At 40.2% G+C, this 23802-nt stretch overlaps 1 protein-coding gene across 2 annotated transcripts, besides 8 other annotated features; it reads left to right on the top strand.

Moving 5' to 3' along the window:
• Positions 21-550: a silencer, noted in NCBI's record as "silent region_9467". NCBI's record gives its function as "represses an Ori minimal core promoter by ATAC-STARR-seq in GM12878 lymphoblastoid cells {active_cell/tissue: GM12878}" and the evidence as "EXISTENCE:reporter gene assay evidence [ECO:0000049][PMID:35858748]".
• Positions 244-23375, top strand: MEX3C (mex-3 RNA binding family member C). Of its 2 annotated transcripts, none has more exons than NM_016626.5 (2): positions 244-1358; positions 20349-23375. In NM_016626.5, the coding sequence occupies exons 1-2, from the start codon at positions 605-607 to the stop codon at positions 21572-21574; spliced, it is 1980 nt and encodes a 659-aa protein (NP_057710.3). In that variant the 5' UTR covers positions 244-604; the 3' UTR covers positions 21575-23375. The 2 variants fall into 2 exon arrangements, with proteins under 2 accessions (NP_057710.3, XP_047293496.1); XM_047437540.1 differs by lacking the exon at positions 20349-23375 and adding an exon at positions 4863-5019.
• Positions 571-680: a silencer, noted in NCBI's record as "silent region_9466". NCBI's record gives its function as "represses an Ori minimal core promoter by ATAC-STARR-seq in GM12878 lymphoblastoid cells {active_cell/tissue: GM12878}" and the evidence as "EXISTENCE:reporter gene assay evidence [ECO:0000049][PMID:35858748]".
• Positions 821-900: a silencer, noted in NCBI's record as "silent region_9465". NCBI's record gives its function as "represses an Ori minimal core promoter by ATAC-STARR-seq in GM12878 lymphoblastoid cells {active_cell/tissue: GM12878}" and the evidence as "EXISTENCE:reporter gene assay evidence [ECO:0000049][PMID:35858748]".
• Positions 1161-1210: a silencer, noted in NCBI's record as "silent region_9464". NCBI's record gives its function as "represses an Ori minimal core promoter by ATAC-STARR-seq in GM12878 lymphoblastoid cells {active_cell/tissue: GM12878}" and the evidence as "EXISTENCE:reporter gene assay evidence [ECO:0000049][PMID:35858748]".
• Positions 1231-1280: a silencer, noted in NCBI's record as "silent region_9463". NCBI's record gives its function as "represses an Ori minimal core promoter by ATAC-STARR-seq in GM12878 lymphoblastoid cells {active_cell/tissue: GM12878}" and the evidence as "EXISTENCE:reporter gene assay evidence [ECO:0000049][PMID:35858748]".
• Positions 1619-2240: an enhancer, noted in NCBI's record as "H3K27ac hESC enhancer chr18:48722055-48722676 (GRCh37/hg19 assembly coordinates)". NCBI's record gives its function as "activates a minimal SCP1, AML or CMV promoter by ChIP-STARR-seq in naive H9 embryonic stem cells {active_cell/tissue: H9 hESC(naive)}" and the evidence as "EXISTENCE:reporter gene assay evidence [ECO:0000049][PMID:30033119]".
• Positions 1941-1990: an enhancer, noted in NCBI's record as "active region_13329". NCBI's record gives its function as "activates an Ori minimal core promoter by ATAC-STARR-seq in GM12878 lymphoblastoid cells {active_cell/tissue: GM12878}" and the evidence as "EXISTENCE:reporter gene assay evidence [ECO:0000049][PMID:35858748]".
• Positions 2932-3226: a silencer, noted in NCBI's record as "tiled region #125; HepG2 Repressive non-DNase unmatched - State 2:TssF". NCBI's record gives its function as "represses a minimal TATA promoter and a strong SV40 promoter by Sharpr-MPRA in HepG2 cells {active_cell/tissue: HepG2}" and the evidence as "EXISTENCE:reporter gene assay evidence [ECO:0000049][PMID:27701403]".

Below are 23802 nucleotides of genomic sequence, written 5' to 3'. Positions count from 1 at the left end.
CAATCACAGTCCCTCTCCGCGCGTGCCGGGAGGAATGAGAGGGAGGTGGGCGGGGAGAGGACGGAAGGAGTAGGCTTCGGGAACTGGCTGGTCCCGGTCACCCAATCAGAGAGCTCTGGGGAGGGGAGGGGCGGGGCCCGAAGGAGGGTGGGGGGTGGGGCTGGGGAAAGGAGTTGGAAGGCTGCGGGAGGAGAAGGCGGGCTCCCAGAGATTAAAAGCACCCAATCAGAGCGCGCCGGCTTCATTCGGAGAGCGGCGTGGGGCGTAGCCGCCGCCGCCGCGCGCGCCGGGGGCTGGTTAAGGCCATGAAACAAAAGAAACACTGAGAGGGGAGCCGCTGCCACCTCCACCAGCCCGCCCCGCCGCCGTCCCCACCCACCCACCTAGTTACCTACCTCTGCCTCCTTCCCCTGCCCCTCCACCCCGCCCTCTCCGGTCTCCGGGCGGCCCTGGCGCTCCTCGGCCCGGGTCCCCAGCCCCGCCGCCTCCCCAGAGGAAAGGTGTTTGCGAGCTGAGCAGGGCCCTGGCCCTGTCCGCCATGGGGCTCGCCGCCTGCCGCGCCTGACCCGGCCGCCGCCGCCGCCATTGACAGCGCGCCGCCGCGATGCCCAGCGGCAGCTCCGCGGCCCTGGCCCTGGCGGCGGCCCCGGCCCCCCTGCCGCAGCCGCCCCCGCCGCCGCCGCCGCCACCGCCGCCTCTGCCGCCGCCCTCGGGCGGCCCGGAGCTCGAGGGGGACGGGCTCCTGCTGAGGGAGCGCTTGGCCGCGCTAGGCCTCGACGACCCCAGCCCGGCGGAGCCCGGCGCCCCGGCGCTTCGGGCCCCGGCAGCGGCGGCGCAGGGCCAGGCCCGGCGGGCGGCGGAGCTGTCTCCAGAGGAGCGGGCTCCGCCCGGCCGGCCCGGGGCCCCGGAGGCGGCCGAGCTGGAGCTGGAAGAGGACGAGGAGGAGGGGGAGGAAGCGGAGCTGGACGGAGACCTGCTGGAGGAGGAGGAGCTGGAGGAAGCAGAGGAGGAGGACCGGTCGTCGCTGCTGCTGCTGTCGCCGCCCGCGGCCACCGCCTCTCAGACCCAGCAGATCCCGGGCGGGTCCCTGGGGTCTGTGCTGCTGCCAGCCGCCAGGTTCGATGCCCGGGAGGCGGCGGCCGCGGCGGCGGCGGCGGGGGTGCTGTACGGAGGGGACGATGCCCAGGGCATGATGGCGGCGATGCTGTCCCACGCCTACGGCCCCGGCGGTTGTGGGGCGGCGGCGGCCGCCCTGAACGGGGAGCAGGCGGCCCTGCTCCGGAGAAAGAGCGTCAACACCACCGAGTGCGTCCCGGTGCCCAGCTCCGAGCACGTCGCCGAGATCGTCGGCCGCCAGGGTGAGTGCAGGGGTGGGGAGGTCCAGCTGGGCATGGCCCCGGGCGTGGGTGGGGAGACGAGAGAAAGGAGCGTGGGACGGAAAAGGCGAACCCGGCGAGGCCCCCAAGTCCACCGCGAAGGGGTCTGGGAGGAGCCGAGGGTCGACCAGATGTGAAGATGGGTCACCTTGCGAAAACCCACGCTTTTCCGCCCGTCTTGCCTGGTAAAAAGTGTGAAGTTTCTCGGGCGACCCAGTCCGGTGGTGTTCACGTTACTTGGGCTGTATTCGTGGAACACCAGGCTGGCGTGGCACCAGAAACCTCAGTGAGGTGGTAAAAGGTCGGGCTCGAGGAGTTGTGGGTTCGCTGTTGGGTACGGAAAGCTTCGAGATTGCAAGTTTGCGCCGCCGAGTGTCTTCTAAAAGCGTTCAGCCTCCCTTACAAGAACTTGTTCAGATGGAGAAAAGAACAGAAATGGAGGCCTGTAGACAGAGCTCACTGGGGAGGGAAGGGGTGTTCAAATGGTCGGTATCACCGCCATCCCCTGCCCCTCCGCTGTTGAGAAACTTAGCTTTGGAAAAGCAGCCCAACTCACTGCCGCCTATCTTAACTGTATTTCTCTCGGTACGTTTCAACTCTCGGAAAGACACACTGACACACTGGCTGTCTTTTAAAACTGTTCAGTGTGCAGGATGAAGAAAAAATGGACACTAAGGTAATTAAGAAACTTCATCGGTTTATACAGTTTTCAGTTAATTCTCCTCTTCACTTGCCAGCACACCAGTACTGCAGACAGACTCCTCCCACATTGTTCAGACAAAGGACCTGTGTCTCAGATTCCAGGAGTAGATTTGTGAAGGTGGGGGAAGGGGATGCCTGGGGTACCTCTGTATCCGACATTTTTAGGGAAGGTCCTAAGTTCTTTATGGTAGCATTTCCCCTTTATGAAAGGGGCAGATGTTACCTGCTGCCACCGCATGACAATGTGGTTTAGCCTGGTTGTTGCATGCCTCTTTACTGTTAGGTTGAGAGCATTGTTGGGGTCAAATAAAGAGAGATGATGGCGCTGCCGCTTAAATGATCTCATCTTTCCCAGGTGGTCTAAAGTACACATAAATAAGAGCTCTGTCGAAATGGTGGTTTCACATATCAGACTTGGCTTATTTCTTTCCTATCTGTAGGATTTTAATAAAAACTCATCTGAAATCTGGATAAAGGAGATAGCTTAGTTCAGACTGCCTGATGATTGGCACTTACAGACACTGTTCAAAGCTGGACCTTTCAATTGAAAGGTAGCTTATGCTTGTCGTTCTTCTGGTTAATGAGTTTCAGATTCCTGGATTGTTTGGTTTTGGCGATACTTAGAGTAATAATCCAGGAGAAAACTTTTGTTTACATGGGATAAAATTACAACATCTCAATTTGGATCAGAATGAGTTGACCATTCATGTAAGAACACTGAGGAATCGCTATGTACCAAGCTTGTATTTTGCCAGGTTTTGAGTTTGTGGTATTGAGAATGTGAAGTTAATTCAGACTTTCTGCCCTTAAGAAGATAACAGTCTAATAAACAGTAGAATGGCACTAACTATAGTGTATTTAGTATGACAAAGTCTCAGGTAAGAGAACATCTATGGAGAGGGCCTTGGAAAATGGGTAGGAAGGAGTCTAACAAATGGAGATTGAAAAACTGTGGAGGAACAATGTGAGGAGGGGTGTGGAGGACTAGCCTAGGTATAATTGCCAAGTAGTGTTGTTTTGATACTTGAGGTCTGTAAAGGGGAGTGGTGGAAAAGGGGGAAGGCAGGCGTTCACACCAGAATGTGAAGAAGCCTGAATGCCATATGAAGATGCCACTTCTCAGGACAAGTTGCTTCCGTGTGCTTATGGTAACAGTCTAGGGTAACAAAGGAAGAAAACATTTACGTGCCAGTTTTACTGAAGGACAAGATAACATATTTTATAGATTTAGTTTAATACAAACTTTAGTCCTTCATTATAGTAGACACCCCTTAAAGCACTGCTAAATGGCCCTTACTTGTGTATGTTGTTAATCTTTATAGAAATCAGTTTTTTAAAAGTAAAGTGAATTCCAAGTTTTTATTTTGTACCAGCTATTACGTGATAGGAAATGAGATAAAGCCTTAGTTTTTCTTTTGAGGGCTGTGTTTATTTGGTTAATAAGGAAATGTTGAATTTAATTATGTCTTAGATCATGGAGACAAATTGCTGGCTCTTCCATTTAAACCTTGTATTTTCCCAGAGTTGACAATACTGTTAAAAGTATGTCATCATCCTCTATCTTAAAAGCAGAAAATCTGGTCCTTTTGCTGTTCTGAACCATACAACTTGTGGATCATTGACCCCTTTGCCACCCCCATGTCCCAGCAGCATAGTAATAAACCTGTAAAGTGTTTGCTCACTCGTATGGAGAACGAAGTGACTTCTAATGTTCACATTCTTTTACAGTATTATATTTCCCCACGGGAGAGAATCTGTCCTAAGTAAGTAAAACAGGGCAAATCATTTCATTTTCTTGTTTGCTTTGAAGGAGCTAAACTTTCATCCTTAAGATTAAATTATCCATTTCTGCCATTTTATGTATTACCTGAAGCCATAATTTTCTATTTGACATCTCTTAATTGATTTTGGAAATAATTATGTCACAGATGGAGACATTTATGACTTCAGCTCTGAAGCAAAGAGCAGGACAAATGGAATTCTGAGTCACATAGACTAGCAACTCATGTAGATGGCCTCTGAGTTCCAGTGTTTTTCTAAAACACAAACTACCGCTTTTGATACTGATGAAAGTTGGCAGAGTGTTTGACCTCGAATTTATACTCCCCAGTAGCATATGGTCATTTGTAAATGTTAAATTGGCCTTGTTTTTTAAAGCATTGCATCTGTTGTGAAACAACAATACTGTAAAATAAAGCCAGGAACTGAAGAGGCTTGTTGATATAATCAAAGAAGTTTTAGAATATGGACATCAAAAATAAACCTGACAACAGATTTTAAGACCTAATTTTATAAACTTAGAACGTCTCTGTTTTTAAGTATAGTACCTGCAAGACATATTAACAGTGATTAACAGGTCTAATTTTAGTCAGCAGGTTTTGTTCCAATTTGTACAGTCATTTATATCCATTTAGACTAAAAAGTGAATTAAAATAGAACTGTATACCCATTCTTAATACATTATAAATTAATACTAAATGTCATAAATTCAGTTGTTTAGAGACTTGTAACCCAAGATTTTGTATTACTATTAGGATAAATGTGTATCTTTCATTAGACTTTAATTAATGGTCTATGTGTGTTCTCTAGCCACATAGTCTAGAAAAGTCGTCTCTAGCTTCTTTTTATTGTACACCCTGTCCAAAAAAAATGTGCATACTCCCAATATCTGGATATTTATGTATGAATAGTAAGTGTGCTTAATATATTACACATTATAAAACAAAATTCTTTATTAACAATTAATACTTTACACTGTTTCAATTTGTCTTCCCAATTTCTTAGGGTGGAACCACCCTTCAAGCTCTAACACAACTGAAATAGGGTTTATACGTCTGTGACCAGGAGAAAAAGAGAAAGCTTGGTCTTGCTGTACATAAATTTTCTCTTCAAGGAGAAGTACATATTTCATGAGAATAAATAGTTTCAGAATGATGCTACAGCACAGTGTCTTTTTCTTTTATGGGGATGAGGGTGCATTGTTGGACTTCTCTTTGCTTAGTACTATGTTAGGTGCTTCACCAGTGCCGTTTAACCCTGCTAGGTGGTTACTGCCGTTTAGAGAGGTAGAAACAGAGGTTCTGAGAGCTAACTTGCTCAAATAGTTGAGATTGGATTTAGCATAGTTTGACATCAGAAATAAAATTCTTTGTACTCTACATTGCCACTTCAGTATTGAAGCATTCTGCTCTGGAAGGTTAGTATTTTGGATTAACTTGTGCCCTAATCGTAGGATACTGAATTTCTAATATGCATAATTTAAAATACCACTATCCAAATTAGTTTACTTGATAAAATTTTGGTGTCTGTACTACCCACAAGGCACAGTTTTAATTGTAATATAGTTCTAATGTGTCCAGCTAAAAATTTACTGTCATTTGTAGTACAGAAAGTTAATTTGCGTATATATATAGACACTAGCTTTAAAAATTAAATATTACAATTTTTCTAGGCTTTAAAATTTAAATTTCGTTAATAATGGTTTGTATTAGTTCTGGGACCCTTGAGAAGGGTTCAGTTACTGTAATTGTTTTTGCAAATGGGTGGGGAATCTACTGCCTTTCTTCCTGCCTTATTCAGCTAATGAACTATTCTGATTCACTAGGGAGGAAATGGGAAATGAAGTGGTAATTCAAGGGTGTATTTTGTACCCCTTGGTTACCAACAACCTGAAAATGATCCAGGGAACCAAGTATTTGTGTTAGTCTGTTAGAGATTTCTATCTAGAAAATTTTCAAACAATGTTTATAGGTTGGAATTCTAGGTGGTTCTTTACAGCGTAAGTTTTTAAGGAAAGGTAGCATTTAGTTATAAGGGAATGCTTAATATATTGCTGATTTGGTTTTGAATACTTTTGCCTTAAACATAAAAATGTTTTAGTATGTGTATTTTAATATCGTAGCTTATACAATATGTAAAAATACCTATTGTAGCTACACCAAACTGCCTGTGACAGTCTCTGTTCAGCTGTGGTATATTGGAAAGAACCAAATCAGAAATAGATATTCCTGTGCCAATAACTCACTGTGTAATCTTGAACAAGTCACTTAAACTCCCTAGGCTTCAGATTCCTCTTTTGCACCTGGGCATAATCATATCTACAATTCCTGTAGAGACTCTGGAAGATAAAGAAATCGACATATATGAAACTGTAAGTGCTAAGCACATTACTTTTGTTAAGGTAAATCTGAAATTAATTTGGAACCACCGTTTAATCATGTCCACCTTTTTTGGCTTTAGCAGATAGTTTGACTCATTATATTCTTCCAATGTAATAGAACTAGAACCAACGGATATCTGAATGCCTTTTAGATACTTGGCACTTCTGTCAAGATGGGCTTGTTATGCTGTGGTTAACAAAGAACTCTGACACCTCAGTGTTAAAACAACTATGGTTTATTTCTTGTTCATAGGGGCTCTGCTCATTTTAGTCATTCAGGGACACAGGCCAACAGCAGCCACCATCTCCAGTGTTACTGATCTTCTGTTGTGCCAGAAGATGAAAGACTACAGCATAGCACATACTGGTCTTAAAATGTTAGATCCGGAAGTAATGCTTATCACATCTGCTCATATTTCATTAAAGCAAATCATCTGGCCACACCTAACTTCAAAAGGCTGAGAAAGTATATGACAACTATGTGCCCACAAGGAGAGCCATGATGACTACTACAGTACTATTTTATAATTTATAGGATTGTTATAGAATTCTAAACAGTGTCATTCCTGCCATGTAGAATTTGTAACCAAACTCAAGATGAGAAAGTAGATAATGTTCATAAGATACTAAAGGAGTGTATTTGCACTTAAAAATAAAAAAAGCTTTTTAAGAAGCTCCAAGTAGATCATGGATAGTTATGTTTAAATCTCCATTGATATTCAGGTGATCCTTAAGTGATACCTTTTTTATTAAACTGCATTCTTAATGCTTCCCAAGTAGCTTATATGCCATAATTTGTGGATTTACTTTTAACATTTTCCCCATGCTACCATTAGTTACTATATAGAGACTTACAAAGATTAAATCTGATATTTAAGCCTTGAAAATAATTTTCTAATGTTAGGATTACCAAACCCAGATATACTAAATTGAATGTATGCATAGTCTAATACTGTTTGAGTAGTTCAAGTCTTTATTCTATAACTGACTTTGAGAATTTTAAGTTACACTAACTATAGGACCTCTTCCATGCCAGTGTTTGAGATGTAAGGACACTTCAAGTGTTTGTTGCCCTTGTCCGGTAAGTACGGACTACAATTCCTCATTGCATGCAGAGAAGCCTGGTTTGGTCACAAGTAAAGTCTATCATGGAATAATAAGACTAAGCCTTAAAATAATAAAAGAAAATCCTTTAATGAAAACTGCAGATGTAGTTGAAGGTAAGCATAAGTAATTTGGTCTTGAACATGATTGAAGGGGAAGTGGGGAGGGAATGGCTTCAAACAACTAGAAAAGATCTCCCAAAATGGTTACCAATGTAAAAGTATATATTTGCATTTGGGGCTGACCTTTTTATTATTATTTCCCTTCTCTGTGCCTCCCTTTCCCTTTGCCTTCTCTTCTGCCTTTCTACCAGTGCCATTTAGTATAATGCAGGAAAGGACATTGGACTTGGAGTTAGAAACCTTGTGTTTTGCACTTGCTGCCTGTGACCTTGGATAAATCACTTAACCTCTCTGAGCCTGTTTTCTCTTCTGGAAAAAACCTACTTCATCTACTTGTTCTTCCAGGTTTCTCTCTCCCCTCTCCCTCATTTGTTGTGAGGATCAAGTCTGAGAAGATAGCATTAGTAGAAATTGACAGTACAATTGAAAGTACAGAGATGATAAATTATATATCAGATAAGGTAAATTTTTACTGCTAAATTTCTTTTATACTCTGAACAAATGCTAGTTAAAGCCAAAAAATGTCATTTTAGTAAGTTTTTCGTAGGCTATACCAATAAATTATGTAAGTTATATTTTTTAAATTTATAATATGTCTTAAAATTTATTTAAAATCAGAGCTTTGGAAATGTATTTCCTGGCAAAGAACTAAGCAAGTCTGGAAGAGAATCATTTACAAATGAATCTAATTCCATTGTATGGTACCCAGACAGATAATTCTAAGGTTTCTGTTAACATTCTCCAAAGAGCATGAACATAATTTCAAGCTCCCCAGTTAGGAAAACTTCTGCCTTTCATCTCTAATTTACACCCTCTTCTGGTTTTTTCTTTCAGGTTTACTGAAAGGCCAAATAATAAAACTTTTCATTAAATATTTTTTATTGTCTTGTCTAAAATAAGTGAAAAAAGAGGGGTTTTAGATTTAATTTAACTTCTGTTTTTTAAAATACCTTGTACATGCAGGGAATTCTTCTCCACTCCTAAAAATACACTAGAAATATTCTTATTGGGATTTAGGAAAATAAGGCAGCTTGAGAGAACATTGGTTTAGGGGTCACTAGTTTATAACTGGACAATTTTAGGCTTCGGTTTTCCTCATGTCTAAAATGAGATTTAACTAGGTGGTCTGTCACATTTCTTATATTCTGATTTTTGTCCAAAGAGAGTCCCTAAAATGAGGTAAAAGTAAACCAGATTTCATATTACCAGTTAGATTGACTTTGCAAAATCTTCTCAATTTTGCAAAGTTTATGATATGTTTTATCTTTAGGAGTTTCTTTAAATGTTTTTAACTCCCTATAAAAATCAGTTCACTTGTCTTTTAATAACAACAAACTTGTGTCAGGCACTGTGCAAAAACTACATGTGTCATCTCATTTAATCCATTCTTAATTCCACCGAACAGATAAACAAGTCTATGGAGTTACAAACAACTTATCCAAGGTCTCAAGCCATTATTGTTTGAGACTTCAACGTGCCTATCTCAGTAAGTGGTAGAACAAGTAGACAAAAATCAGCAAGGATATTGTAGAAGATCTGACTACTGTCACCAACCAACAGTATAAGAAAAGAAAATAGGTCACTATGTGTACATGAACATGTATCACTAAATACTTTCAGTGCTTGAAGTTAATACAAGTCAGTGAAGGTAGAACTGAATCTTAGTCATCTTTGCATTATTAATATTGGTTAAAGTACCTAAAACAAAGTGGAATACTTCCTTTTTATTTTATTGAACTAAATTTTTTTCTTATAAACTTGCCATTTTATTGTTTATATCATTGTACTTTCCATATTGTTTTAATTGGGGTTTTCTTCCCTCTTGCCTTTATTCCCAGCATTTTTTTTAATTTTTTTTTTTTTTGAGACAGGGTCTCACTCTGTCGCCCAGGCTGGAGTGCAGTAGAGCAATCTCAGCTCATTGCAACCTCCGCCTCCCAGGCTCAAGTGATCCCCAGTAGCTGGGACGGTAAGTGCACACCACCACGCCTGGCTAGTTTTTTGTATTTTTGGTAGAGACGGGGTTTTACTATGTTGCCCAGGCTGGTCTTGAACTTCTGAGCTGAAGCTGAGCTCAAGCAGTCCACCCACCTCGGCCTCCCAAAGTGCTGGGATTACAGGCATAAGTCACCACAACTGGCCAAACAGCTTTTTATGTAAGGACCCAGTCAACCTCAAGTTGTTTGGCACTTTTGTTTGAAGTACAGTAGATGCTACTTGATTGAAGGCATTAAATGTTTATATGAATACTGATAATGAAACTAAAATCACATAAATGAAGGTGTTTGAAGTATTGTCATAGTAATCCCTAAAGTGAGACAAACAGTATTCTTGCCTTAAAATAGCTACAAGGAGGCCACTTGAACCCTAGAAAGGAAAGCTATTAGTTTTATATTATGCATTTAGGAATACATTGCATTCTTAAATTATTACTTAAAATGTTGAATTAATGTTGTGTACATGAAACATTCTTACTGGGATTTAGTTGATACTCATTAGTCTTTGAAGATAGAATACTAGAATTGATTAATAGAACTAATGGCAATTCCATATTTACTGTAACACCTTAATACAGTATTTTATGTGTTTCTATAAAATGAAAGGAGCTTTTGAATATTCTGTCTAGACTATTCCAAGGGGAAAGGGACCTTATTTTGTATAAAATTATTAATACAACCCCTTCATTCATTCTTATATATCATGAAACGTGAGATGATTTAGGGTTTTTGTTTGTTTTTGTTTTTGTTTTTTTTGAGACGGAGTTTCGCTCTTATTGCCCAGGCTGGAGTGCAGTAGTGTGATCTCTGCTGACCTCAACCTCCGCCTCCCGGGTTCGAGCGATTCTTCTGTCTCAGCCTCCCAAAATGATGTGTTTTTAGGGGAAAATAGTGTGATGAAAGGAGTGTGGACTTAAGACAACTTGGGCTAAGCACTTAATAACAGGCATTGTAGTAAGCATTTTTAATACATTATTTCATTTAATCTTTGCAAAAAACAAACGAAGGAAGTATCTTTAATCATAGTTTGCCCTAACGTTGAAACAGCAGGTTCCGAGTCCTGCAGATAGTCAGTTTTTTGCTGCTTATATTGTTTCCCTTGAACTGGACCTTAATGGATTCATACATGATAGCTATAATAATGAGTTGTGCCTATGTTTGTATTATTCTTAAGTTCGTGGAGCCTTTCACACATACAGTTTTATCTTTTCCAAATGGCCATGTTTGTTATTCAGATAACTCAGGGAGGAAAAGGAATACTAGGAGGGTTTTCCAGATTATGTAAGGAAATACCCGAGCAGAGATAGAAGAGGAACAAGACATGTTTGGGGGATGAAGTCTGGGAGAAGGTGGGTTGTGGCCACTTAATATGCAGAAGGGGTGGGGACTTAATTTCAGGCCAAAGAGTTTTATTTTTCTTGAAGGTAAGAAGAGCTACTCAAGATGTTTAACTCCCCTCTCTCTTTACCCTTCAAAACAAAACCTCTTGGGAAATTTTTGAAGAAAAACCCCAAGGACTGCCAAAAGTGAAAATATACACATAATGCAGTTGTGATGTTTGCTTGTAAGGGTTTGAGCTTTCTTTAGTCACCTTGTATTTGTAGCTAATGTATGAAATGAATGGAAAACATAATGCGTTTAGTTTCTAGAAAACAAGTTCCTTTTTGCAAAATCTACAACACAAGTACTTGATGTTCATAACAGTGGTCATACATAGCCCCAGCCTTGCATTCTGTCCTTTGTTCTCAGCATTTTTCTGTTCATTATTGTGATAGGCCTTGTGGTGAGTCCCCCGTCTTGTCTCTTTTGCATCTTTTATGCACCCACTAGTCTTAACATGCATATCTGTTTATGTTACTGTCTATCTCCAGTTTTTTCTACTACACGATAAAGTCGAAATTCCCTTGCCTGACATCAGAGACTTCTGTCTCCCCATCCAGCTTTATCCCTGCCATTCTATCCTCCAGTGACGTGAAGCTCTCACACTGCTGAACCCAGTTGTCTGACTGTGCCATCCTGTACTCTTGATTCCTTGCTTTTGCACTTGCAGTTCCCTCTGCTCTCCTTCCCATCTGGCAAAACCATTTTCTTTAAGCCTCAGTTCAGATGCCTTTAAAGCTTTCTTTTATTTACTGTAAGTAGTAAAGTCATCTCCTTTTGTATGTACCTACTGCTTTGTAGGTACCTTTAAACCGGTTACTGTATTCAGTGTTGCTTTACTTTTTTCCCTCTAGACTAAGCTTGAGAGCAGAAATGATGCTGGTTCATTTATACCACCTGGAAGTAGCACTAGCATCTTTATAGGGAATTTAACATGTGAATGGGTAAGTTCAGGTATTAGGCTGCACTTTATCTCACAATTGATAAAATGCTCTTAGAGTTCACCCAAGCAGTGATTTTGCTGGGAACGCCTAGGATAAGTGGAAGCCACTTTTACTGTGTATCACGTACCAAACCACTAATCTCCCAACATAAACATAATCTCCTAGTAAAAGTCATTGTAAACACTTGGCTTCTATATTTTCTCCCTATTTGATATTTTTATTTTAATATTATTTGTTTATTATAGAGAGGGGGGGGTCTCACTATGTTGCCCAGGCTGGTCTCGAACTTCTGGCCTCAAGCAATCCTCCCACCTCTGCCTCCCAAAGTGTTGGGATTACGGACATGAGCCACCACACTCAGCCCTTACTTGATTTTTAGATTTATCCCTTCACCTATTCCAATGCCCGTGATTCCTCAAACCTTTCCTGACCCTACCTTATGTCTATTCGCTGCCCTGGCCTTTGGGTTACTATTCCTGAATTGGGATTTAAAAGCTAGGTACTTGGAAGAAAAGGAAAATAATTGAAGGAAAGGAGAAAGGTAATGTCATAGGCAGAGTAATCCCACCCACCCAACAAGTCCATATCCGAATTCCCCAGGAACTCTGAATATGTCACCTCATTTGGCAAAAGGGATGTTGCAGGTGTTTATGCAGACGTGATTGAGGGTATGGACCTTGCTTTGGGGAGCTTGAGATCATCTGGATGATCATCTGGGTATAATCACATGAGACCCTAAAAGCAGAAAACCTTTCCCAGTTGGGTCTGAGATCTGAAAAAGAAGATGTGAAGCATGAGAAGGACTCAGCCTCCATTGCTCGCTCTGAAGATGAGTCACAAGCCAGGGAATGTAGGTGGCCTCTAGAAGCTGGGAATGACCCTCAGCTGACAGCCAGCAAGGACACTCAGTCCTTTCACTGCAAGCAATCAAATTCTGCCAACAACCTGCATGTGCAAGGAACTGGATCCCTCAAGCTTCTTGCAAGGAACATAGCCCTTGCAAACACCTTGATTTTAGCCCTGTTGAGACCCATATCAGATGTCTGACCCACCAAACTGTAAAATAACAAATATATGTAAAAACAATAAATTTTTGTCATTAAAGCCACTGTGGTAACTTGTTAAGGCAGCATTAGGAAACTAAAGCAGGTAATAGGGAATTAAAGGACAGAAATATTTTTGGACTTTAATTGAACTATTGGCAATTCCATATTTACTGTAACACCTTAATACAGTATTTTATGTTGAAAACTGCTTCTTAATTTTTTTTTTTCTTTTCTTTGGGTCAGGGTCTCACTCTGTTGCCCAGGCTTGAATGCAGTGGCACGATCTCGGATCTCTGCAGCCTTGACATCCTAGGCTTAGGTGATCCTCCCAACCTCAGCCTCCCAAGTAGCTAGGACCACAGGTGTGCACCACCACGCCCAGATAGTTTTTTATATTTTTTGTAGAGATGGGGTTTTGCCATGTTGCCTAGGCTGGTTTCAAACTCCTGAACTCAAGTGATCCTCCCACCTCAGCTCCCCAAAGCGTTGAGATTACAGGCTTGAGGCATCACACACAGCCAAAAGCTACTTCTTACAATAATTCTTGAGAGACTTCCAGAATGTCTTGTAGGGTATTGAATAAGAATGTAATATATCTAACATTTTAGTCTCTCCTCTCTTGGGGCAGTGATTGTGGAGTTTTTAAGGGCTCTGAGAATCTCTAGTAGTTTTTATTACTTTGTAACAGTTACTGCTAATTTAGCAGCTTACAACAACACAAATTTATTATCTCCATTTCTGTAGGTCAGAAGTCTAGGCATGGTGTGTCTGTTCAGGGTCTCACTGTGTTCAAATCAAGGTATTGGGCAGGACTGCAGTGCTTATCTGCGGCTCATGTCCTCACCCAAGCTTGCTGGTTTTTGATAAAATTCATTTTGAGTAGGGAGTGGGAGGTGGGTGTTGCAGGATGATGACCTCTACCTCCATTTTCCTTCTAGCTCACAGCTCCTAGAAGACACCTGAAGTTCCTTGCCTTGGGGTCACCATAGGCAATTTACAACATACATTGTTTGCTTTCTTCTTCCAGGTTAGCCAGAGCACATCTCTCTGACTTCTCTTCTGAGTCATGCTAGGAAAAAAAAAAATTTTTTTAAGAGACAGGGTCTCACTCTGTTGCCCAGGCTGGAGTGCATTGGTGTGATCATAACCCACTGCAGCCATGACCTCCTGGACACAAGCAATTCTTCACCTTATTAGCCTCCCATATAGCTAGGACTCCAGGGACACACCACCATACATGGCTAATTTTTTTTGTTGTTTTTATTTTTGTTTGTTTTTTTGTAGAAACAGCGTCCTGCTATGTTGCTCAGCCTGTCATTAACTCTTGGCTTCAAGCAGTCCTCTGGCCTCAGCCTCCAAAGTGCTAGGATTACAGGCATGAGCCACCACAATCAGCCAAAACCTCTGCTTTTAAAAAACTTATGATTAGGTCAGGCCCACCCAGATAATCTGGATAATTTTACTATTTTAAGCTGAACTGATTTGGATTGTAATTATATTTGCAAAGTCCCTTCACAGGGGCCACCTAGGTTAGTGTTTGTTTAACTGAAAGTATGTGTACATACTAGGCCCAGGAATCTTGAGGAGCCATCTTAGGATTCTGCCTATCATACTGTCTACTATAGCTTTTTAAAGGATTTAGTGGTGAATGATGAACAGCTCCATGGACTTTCATTTTCTGCTTAATTGTACACTACTGGTGACCTAAATATTAACTCAATTCTTTATCACATGGTGCTTTTTCTGTTGGGAAGTGGGAACAAATGGTATGGATAGGCCATGTGGTCTTTTTGCTGCCATCTAAATGAACCGTGGTTTAAAAACAAAAACAAAACTTGAAAAATCCTGCTCTGAGTATCCAAGATATGTTGCTGGTGGCTAGAAAATAAATAATGGGTTTTTAAAAATTTGGTGTTACAAATATGTCTGAGCTGTCTGGCCTCCACAAGCTACTTTAGGTGACCATAGAGCAGAACTATAGTATTACCATTTTCAACTGTATGGAAATTTCATCTGTAAAGTCAGATCTTAAACCCAGGTTTTCTCAATAATGCCACACTCCCTCCTTTTCACTATCACTGTACTGGTTCTTAGTTGTAAGTACATCATTTCACATGTGTTAATGGAACTAGAAAGTGGCCTTAAAGGTGATGTTGTCTAGTGGTTTTAAACTTTTCTGACAGGAAAAAGAACATTTTATTTTGCAGCCCATTATATATTTCACTGAAACATTTGGAACATATTGAGTTCTTTTTTTAAATGCTGACTGCACCTACTGAATTGATACTGCAACCCATGGTTTGAAAAACACTGAAGATTACCTTCATTTTAATTTCTTTTCTTTCAACCCCTTTCCCAGCGGCAGAGGACCTCCCCGTCTTAATTTCTAAGGCTAGGAAAAGCTCTCTTTATTTACCCTGGAGAAGCAAGGCAGAATCCTTTGCTGTATTAGGGAGTGAGAGGACCAGAGTTCTAGCTGCAGCTAAAGGGTTTTAAGGTGAAACATAGCCCCAGCAACAGTGATGTAGGAAAGGAAAATGGGTTCCTACACCAGTGAGGTTAAGTTGGAGACTCTTTTTTTAGGGAATTTACTTCCAAATCAAGATAAAATTAGTTCTTGACCTCTAAACAGTCTAGTCTAGACTTCTGCCCATTGATTACCTTGAATACAACTTGCCATATGTGGATTTTTATCTGTAGCTATAAGAAGTGTAGTCCTCACATTTTTAAATTTCAAAACTTTGTTCAACTTTGAGGCTACGAAATCATTTACCCTGCTGTTTGTACAGTAGTCCCCCCCTTATCCAACAGGGATGCCTTCCCAAGACCTTAAGTGGATGCTTGAAACCGCAGAGTACCAAACCCTATATATACATACTATGTTTTTTCCTATATGTACATACCTGTGATAACATTTGATTTATAAACAAGACAGAGTAAGAGATTAACAATAATAAAATAGAAGACTTATAACAATATACTGTAATAAAAGTTGGTGAACGTGGTCTTACTCACTCTCAAATATCTTTTTATTCTGTACTGTACCCACCTGCATTTGGACTATGGTTGACTGAAAGGAGCTGAAATGATAGAAAGTGAAACTGCAGATAAGGGAGGGGGGCTACTGTAATTTAAAATAATATCAGTAGCACTAACCAAACGTCTAATCAATATGCTAAGACTAGTAAAGTGTATCATTTCTGTATATTTAATTTGTTTTTCTTTTCTAACTTAATCATATTTATTTGAAAAAGTAATGTGTATGTATGACTCAAAATTTATTAAAAAAAATAAATAAGAATATACAGTGAAAACTGCCTCCCTCCTTCCCTGTCCCCCTAGGTCAACCACTTTTATGAGTGTATAGCATTCCATTATATAGCTGTACCAGCCTCATGCTAATTCAAACAATAATTATAAAATACAGAAGTTATTTTGCACTTGTGCACATATTTCTACAGGATCAATTGTACAAGAAGATTGTAGAAGCGTAAGAATATATGGGCTTATAACTGTGATAGCTCTTAGAGGGCAGTTTATACTCTCACAGCTAAATATGAGAGTTCTTTTCCCCACTCTTTACTAGCATTGTTGTAAGGTTTTTGTTATTTGACAATCTTATAGGTAGAAAATAATAGGTCAGTTCCCTTGAAAATGGGAATTTCCATCTTCAGAGCCATTTGTATATTTACTTTGATGTTAGCTGTTTCTTTCACCCTTTTATTGGGTTTTTGTTGTTTTGATTTGTAGGGGAGAGATGTGTGTGTGCATGCGTGTATGTGTGTGTTTGTGTGTGTGTAAGAAAGTGAGAAATTAGCCATTTCTAATAATGTTATAAATATTTTAGGTTTTTTTACTTTGTTTTTGGTGACTTGTGCCATGTAGCAACTTAAAAAATACAGGCTAATATATCATAATACGGCTTCTGAATTTTATTTCACTCTGAGATTATAAATTCTATTATTTTTAAAAATATCTTCGAGTTTTCAAATAAAAACTCAAAGTACTCAAAAAAGCTAATACCTTCGTCACCTGCAAAATTACAAAACAAGATTGTTTTTCTCCTTTAGTTTGTGTCACCTTTTAAAAAGTATCTATTCGAGTAGTCCCCAACATTAGAATGTATTTGTAGTTGAGAAATCATGTTAGTTGTTTGGAACTCAGAATATGTGTTCCTACAGAAACAGTGGTATGATTGGTGAGCTTCCCTATAATCCCTAATCTGAGTTTAGGATACTATAATCAAAAGATTTAGGGAAGTGAAGAAATAGTTTCCTCTGTCTTTATTGGCAGTGGCTTAAACTGGGTTGGTGGCCAGGCACGATGGCTCACGCCCGTAATCCCAGCACTTTGGGAGGCCAACGCGGGCAGATCACCTGAGTTCAGGAGTTTGAGACTAGCCTGGCCAACATGGTGAAAACCCGTCTCTACTAAGAATATATTTTAAAAATTACCCGGGTGTGGTGGTGGGCACCTGTAATCCCAGCTACTCGGGAGGCTGAGGCAGGAGAATTGCTTGAACCCAGGAGACGGAAGTTGCAGTGAGCCGATATGGTGCCACTGCACTCCAACCTGGGCGACAGAGACTCCATCTCAAAAAACAACAACAAAAAAAAACCAGGGTTGGCTTTGCTGTCTTCCTTTTACTTTTTTCCCTGATCTGCAAAACCTAATAAACACATGACCCTTTTGGGTGTAGACCAGGCCTGTCTTTCTCCCCTGTCTCAAGAGTGGCCCATGCTCAAACCATTTGTCTTCTCTGTACCCAATGAACCATACATTAAACACCTATTTATTAATACCAACCATAGGCTAGATAGTGTTCTGTGGACCCTCAAGCATATTTCCTCAGTTAATAATATACCTGTTAGGTATTTAACAGAAAATATTCTACTAAGGGTGTGACTGACAGTTGCTTATAGTATCAAAAGTATTTGATTAAGGGATTTTTACATAGTTTTCTTTTTTCTCTTTTATTTCTGTTTTCCTTTTTTTTCTTTTATTTATTTTCAGTTTTCTAATGGTCAATATTAGTAAGGGATGAAAGGGACCAACCCTAGACCCTTAGACTAATTCTCCCTTTGTCCTTAATGCAATTTGCCCAGTGTTTTTCTGCAGAATATTGTCTGTCTCTTGTTAGGAATGTAACTGTGGCTGACTGCCTTCTTGCCACCTTGTCAAGTTGTAGCCCACTGTGAACTTACATATCCAAATAGTAACTCCCCTGAGTATAGAATATGACCAGTTCTGTGTTTATACACCCCTTTCAGAATTTCTTAAGCATCAATAGAAAGTGATCTCAATTCTGCACACCAAACTGCACCTGCTGCACTAAATGAGGGAATCTCCTGGACATTTAGCCTGTATAAATGATACGTAGATGTGGAAGTTTCATTGTACTCTCTGTTCTTCTAACTGATTTTCTGTTGTAGAACAAAAGCACATACAGGCTGAACACTTCTAATCCGAAAATGTGAAATCCTAAATGCTCAAAAAGCCTCCGATTTTGTTTTAGAGCTCCAAAATCTGAGGCTTTTTGAGCACCAGCATAATGCTCAAAGAAAATACTCACTGGAGCATTTCAGATTTTCAGAGTAGGGATGCCCAACTGGCAGGTATGATGCAAATACTCCAAAATCTCAAACATTCCTGGTCCCATGTGTTTTTGGATAGGGGATAACTCAACCTGTGTAGTCAACACCTAGTGGCTTGGGAATGCTTTGGAAGGGCAAACAAACAAGTTCCACTTTGTGCAAAAAAGTGATCAGGTCATGTGCTTTATTAGAAAGCATCGGCCAGGTGCGGTGGCTCCCGCCTGTAATCCAGCACTTTGGGAGGCCGAGGCAGGCAGATTACTAGGTCAGGAGTTCAAGACCAGCCTGACCAACGTGGTGAAACCCCATCTCTACTAAAAATACAAAAAATTATCCAGGTGTGGTTGTGCATGCCTGTAGTCCCAGCTACTCGGGTGGCTGGGGCAGGAGAATCACTGGAACCCGGGAGGTGGAGGTTGCGGTCAGCCGAGAACACATCACTGCACTCCAGCCTGGGTGACAGAGCGAGACTCTGTCTCAAAAAGAAAAAAAGCATCATCTGACTAAAGTGATATAGGAATATTAATTTATTGAGGACAAAAAAGGAAGGGAGCATTTAAGAAAAAGACATGCTCAGATTGTGACACTTCAGTAGCACCTAGCTTCTTTTTTTGTTTGTTTGTTTGGTTTTTTTTTTTTTGAGATGGAGTTTCACTCTTGTTGCCCAGGCTGGAGTGCAGTGGGACAATCTCGGCTCACTGCAACCTCTGTCCCCCGGGTTCGAGCAATTCTTCTGCCTCAGCCTCTCAAGGAGCTGGGATTACAGGCATGCACCACCACGCCCAGCTAATTTTTGTGTATTTAGTAAAGACGGGGTTTCACCATGTTCACCATGTTAGTCAGCCTGGTCTTGAACTCCTGACCTCAGGTTATCCACCTGCCTCACCCTCCCAAAGTGCTGGGATTACAGCACCTAGCTTCTTTATTTTGACAAACTAAGAATAGTATGATATATTCATGAGAACACATCTATGCTGGCAAGCTCAAGTTAGGGTCTTTGAAAAGTATAACCCCAGAGTTTTATTCCTTGGTTGTGTACTTGACATTTTAAGTTACAGTTTGAAGCCCTCTAATCTTCACATAGTTGGCACTAGTAATCTGTGATTACTCAAAAAAAAAAAAAAAAGTTGGTTAAAGTGGAGAATTACGTAAAGTTATACATATGTGTCTTAGATGTTTTATTTTAACTTAAATATACTTAGGATTTGGGGTCATGGCCTTTTATTTGAAATTGTGTCTGTCAATCAGAGCAGTCCTTGAATAAAACCACACCCAGCACCCACATTCCATACAATCTGCAGTATCTGTTTCTTTTAAATGGAGCAGGACTTTACAATGATTACAAAATCATTCTATATTACTTTTTTTTTTATTCCAGCCCTTTACAGCTGTCTCACCTATTCATAATTCAGTAGCAGCTTTTTCTTTAAGATACTCATCTTTTTTGCATTCATGTTTCACTAGTTTATGCAGTAATTTAGATAATTTAGTTACTAGCGTGAGTACACCTACCACAAACAACATGGGAATAAACAAAACTGAATCATAGCAGGCCTAGAATTTAACTGGTGGGAGCAGAAGTGAGATGACCTACTAGCCATGAGCACGGTGTTTTTGTCATCAATTGAGTTTTACAGAGGAAAGAGTAATGTTAAGTTAAAGTGGTAAGATAATTAGGTGGAAGTCAGTTTAATAACTTCTGTCAGATAATTGTGAAAATCGAGGTTCTTGGACTAGCAAAAAGACCACAGATTTTAAGTCAAACTAGGTTTACTTCTGGCTCTGCCACTTCCTAGCTATGTGAAAAACTCTAAAACTTAACCCATAACCAGATATTTAGCTTAAAAGGTGCATTCTGTGATTTGTCTTTATATATATCATTGAAGTAGATGTTGATTCTTATGAAATGTTTTCTTTCTAACAGGTTGTAAAATTAAAGCACTGAGAGCCAAGACAAACACGTATATCAAGACTCCTGTTCGTGGTGAAGAGCCCATTTTTGTTGTCACTGGAAGGAAAGAAGATGTTGCCATGGCCAAAAGAGAGATCCTCTCAGCTGCAGAGCACTTCTCCATGATTCGTGCATCTCGAAACAAAAATGGGCCTGCCCTGGGAGGATTATCATGTAGTCCTAATCTGCCCGGTCAAACCACCGTCCAAGTCAGGGTCCCTTATCGTGTGGTAGGATTAGTGGTTGGACCCAAAGGAGCAACTATTAAAAGAATTCAGCAGCAGACCCACACCTACATAGTAACTCCGAGCAGAGATAAGGAACCTGTCTTTGAAGTGACAGGGATGCCTGAAAATGTTGACCGAGCACGGGAAGAAATAGAAATGCATATTGCCATGCGTACAGGAAACTATATAGAGCTCAATGAAGAGAATGATTTCCATTACAATGGTACCGATGTAAGCTTTGAAGGTGGCACTCTTGGCTCTGCGTGGCTCTCCTCCAATCCTGTTCCTCCTAGCCGCGCAAGAATGATATCCAATTATCGAAATGATAGTTCCAGTTCTCTAGGAAGTGGCTCTACAGATTCCTACTTTGGAAGCAATAGGCTGGCTGACTTTAGTCCAACAAGCCCATTTAGCACAGGAAACTTCTGGTTTGGAGATACACTACCATCTGTAGGCTCAGAAGACCTAGCAGTTGACTCTCCTGCCTTTGACTCTTTACCAACATCTGCTCAAACTATCTGGACTCCATTTGAACCAGTTAACCCACTCTCTGGCTTTGGGAGTGATCCTTCTGGTAACATGAAGACTCAGCGCAGAGGAAGTCAGCCATCTACTCCTCGTCTGTCTCCTACATTTCCTGAGAGCATAGAACATCCACTTGCTCGGAGGGTTAGGAGCGACCCACCTAGTACAGGCAACCATGTTGGCCTTCCAATATATATCCCTGCTTTTTCTAATGGTACCAATAGTTACTCCTCTTCCAATGGTGGTTCCACCTCTAGCTCACCTCCAGAATCAAGACGAAAGCACGACTGTGTGATTTGCTTTGAGAATGAGGTTATTGCTGCCCTAGTTCCATGTGGCCACAACCTCTTCTGCATGGAATGTGCCAACAAGATCTGTGAAAAGAGAACGCCATCATGTCCAGTTTGCCAGACAGCTGTTACTCAGGCAATCCAAATTCACTCTTAACTATATATATATACATAAATACTATATCTCTATATGGACTCGTAAAGGCATGGGTATAATGGTACCCCCCAGTAAACTTCCTAATGATTTCTTATGACTGTTATCAGGCTTTATTGGGATTAGGCTAAAGTTGTTAGTAAACTTATAAAAGGCTGCTATGGTAACACTAAACCTAAGTGGTCTCTTGTCTATTAGTTTGGTTTGAATTATTAGTACTATCCTGTAGACCCAGAGACATAGTTTATATAAGAATTGCTAAAGCTGAAGTTCAACTTGGCTGAGTGAAGATAATCATAGGTTGTGTGAGCCTATGAAAAAGTGTATACGTCTAAGATTTCAAAACAATGGGTCCCAAAGCCTAACCACTTTAAGAGTTTATGGAGGGTACTTGGCATTACAGACGATTCATACACTTCCAGTGCTGCCTTCTTTACACTGCCAGTTTTGACAAAACAGGTTTGTTTTTTATTTTACAACAACATATGCCTAATTCTGCAGGATTGCAAGTAACTTTTTAATGCATTGTGATTACTTATTGGTAATGATAGGGCTGATGGCAGTTTACTAGATCACTGGTTATAATTTGGGACAAAAACTGCTACATCAACTTTCATCTCGCCCAGAGTGCTCAAGGCTGGTATGATCAGTGGATCAGGAATGCAATTGTGAATTCCTGCCCATTGCCTCTCTTGGTGAATGTGGAAATGGCCACCTGGGTTTTCCCATATCAGGAAGGGCTTTGGGATGGCACCTATATTGGCTGATAATTGAGGATGCAAACATTCCATTCATTAGTGTGATCGAGCTGTTAATTTTTAGACTATAGATCAAAATGTGAAACATTTTATGTTCAATCCATATTTGTCTTGCACATTATAAATATATTTTTATTTTTTAGTAATTTAGGGGAGGGAGGAGGGAGAAAGGGATAATGATGCCCTTGGCATAATTCACAAAAGCAGCTGTGACAACCTCCAATCAGTTTACTTCATTTCAAAACTATTTCCAATCACAAGGAAAGATTTATTTAAAATATACTCGTACATTTCACCTGTGGATGTCTATAACTTCATCCTCAGTATGTTCCCAAATCTGTGCTGGCATTGAAAGGACAAAACATTATACTAGTGGGTTTTTCTACTAATTATTTTTTGAAGCATTATTTTCCCAACACAAAAGAGCTTTTTTCTCGGTATAATGAAAATTGAAATCCTATGTGTATTCAATAGTAAATAGACAAATTTTATTTTTTATTTCCACTTGAAGAGTTACATTTCGTATAAAAGTTTACAAATAACGGTTTTTATTTTGATTTTTTCAGTATAAAAAAAGTTGCCTTGATGGCATATTATGATGTAATGCTAATTGCTTGTAGGATAGTAAATGGTCAGTATTGAAACCTAATCTCTAGCTGCCGTCTTGTAGATATGAACGAATGTTCACCAAGCATGTATTTTGTATTTTGTTGCATTGTACACTGCAACTAATAAGCCAAGGAATCGACATATATTAGGTGCGTGTACTGTTTCTAAAAACCACAAACTAAGAATGATAAATTATCAATATAGTTTAGTATTTGCTAATTTTACTACACTCTTTTGTTATGTATATGTAGGGAAGTCATAGGGATTATAAATTCAATTTGAGTAAAATTTAAAACCATATATTTTATGATAAAGGGCCTTTAACTTAAGATGGCCAAAGCACTGATATTATATATTTGCTGTAAAGAGAATTATAAGAGTTTTATTTTTCTGATATTAAAAGTTACTTAATAAAGACTTGTTTCCATTAACTTGAATGTATTCTCCTTGGTGTTTTTCATATAATCATCAGTTTATACTAGAAGATTAGTTAACAGAATCGAAAATTTTCTTTTATAGACTCCCTATTCCCCAACCAGCTATCTGTGCTCACTCTTGTAGTTATTTTGTGTGTGTGTGCTCTTGGTTTTGAATGTGTCGCTTATGTTCCTGTCCAAGTTTAGTTTTTTCTTTAAATGAGTGTTAAATTACAGTAAACTGGAAATTTGGCTGGTTGTAGATTTAGTTGCATATTTGTGTAGTTGACCACAAACCACTACTGATCTAATTGTAAATAGTTAATGACTTTTTTTATACATTATTACTTGAAATCCTGAATTCAACTTAAATTCTACTTGGTTTGCATCCTTTGTTTATGGATTTTTGTCTTTTTATCACCAAATCTGTAAAACAAGTTCTTTTCTA

This window comes from Homo sapiens, chromosome 18, assembly GCF_000001405.40.
Source record: "Homo sapiens chromosome 18, GRCh38.p14 Primary Assembly".
NCBI lineage: Eukaryota > Metazoa > Chordata > Mammalia > Primates > Hominidae > Homo > Homo sapiens.
This window is presented reverse-complemented; position numbering and strand designations above follow the sequence as displayed.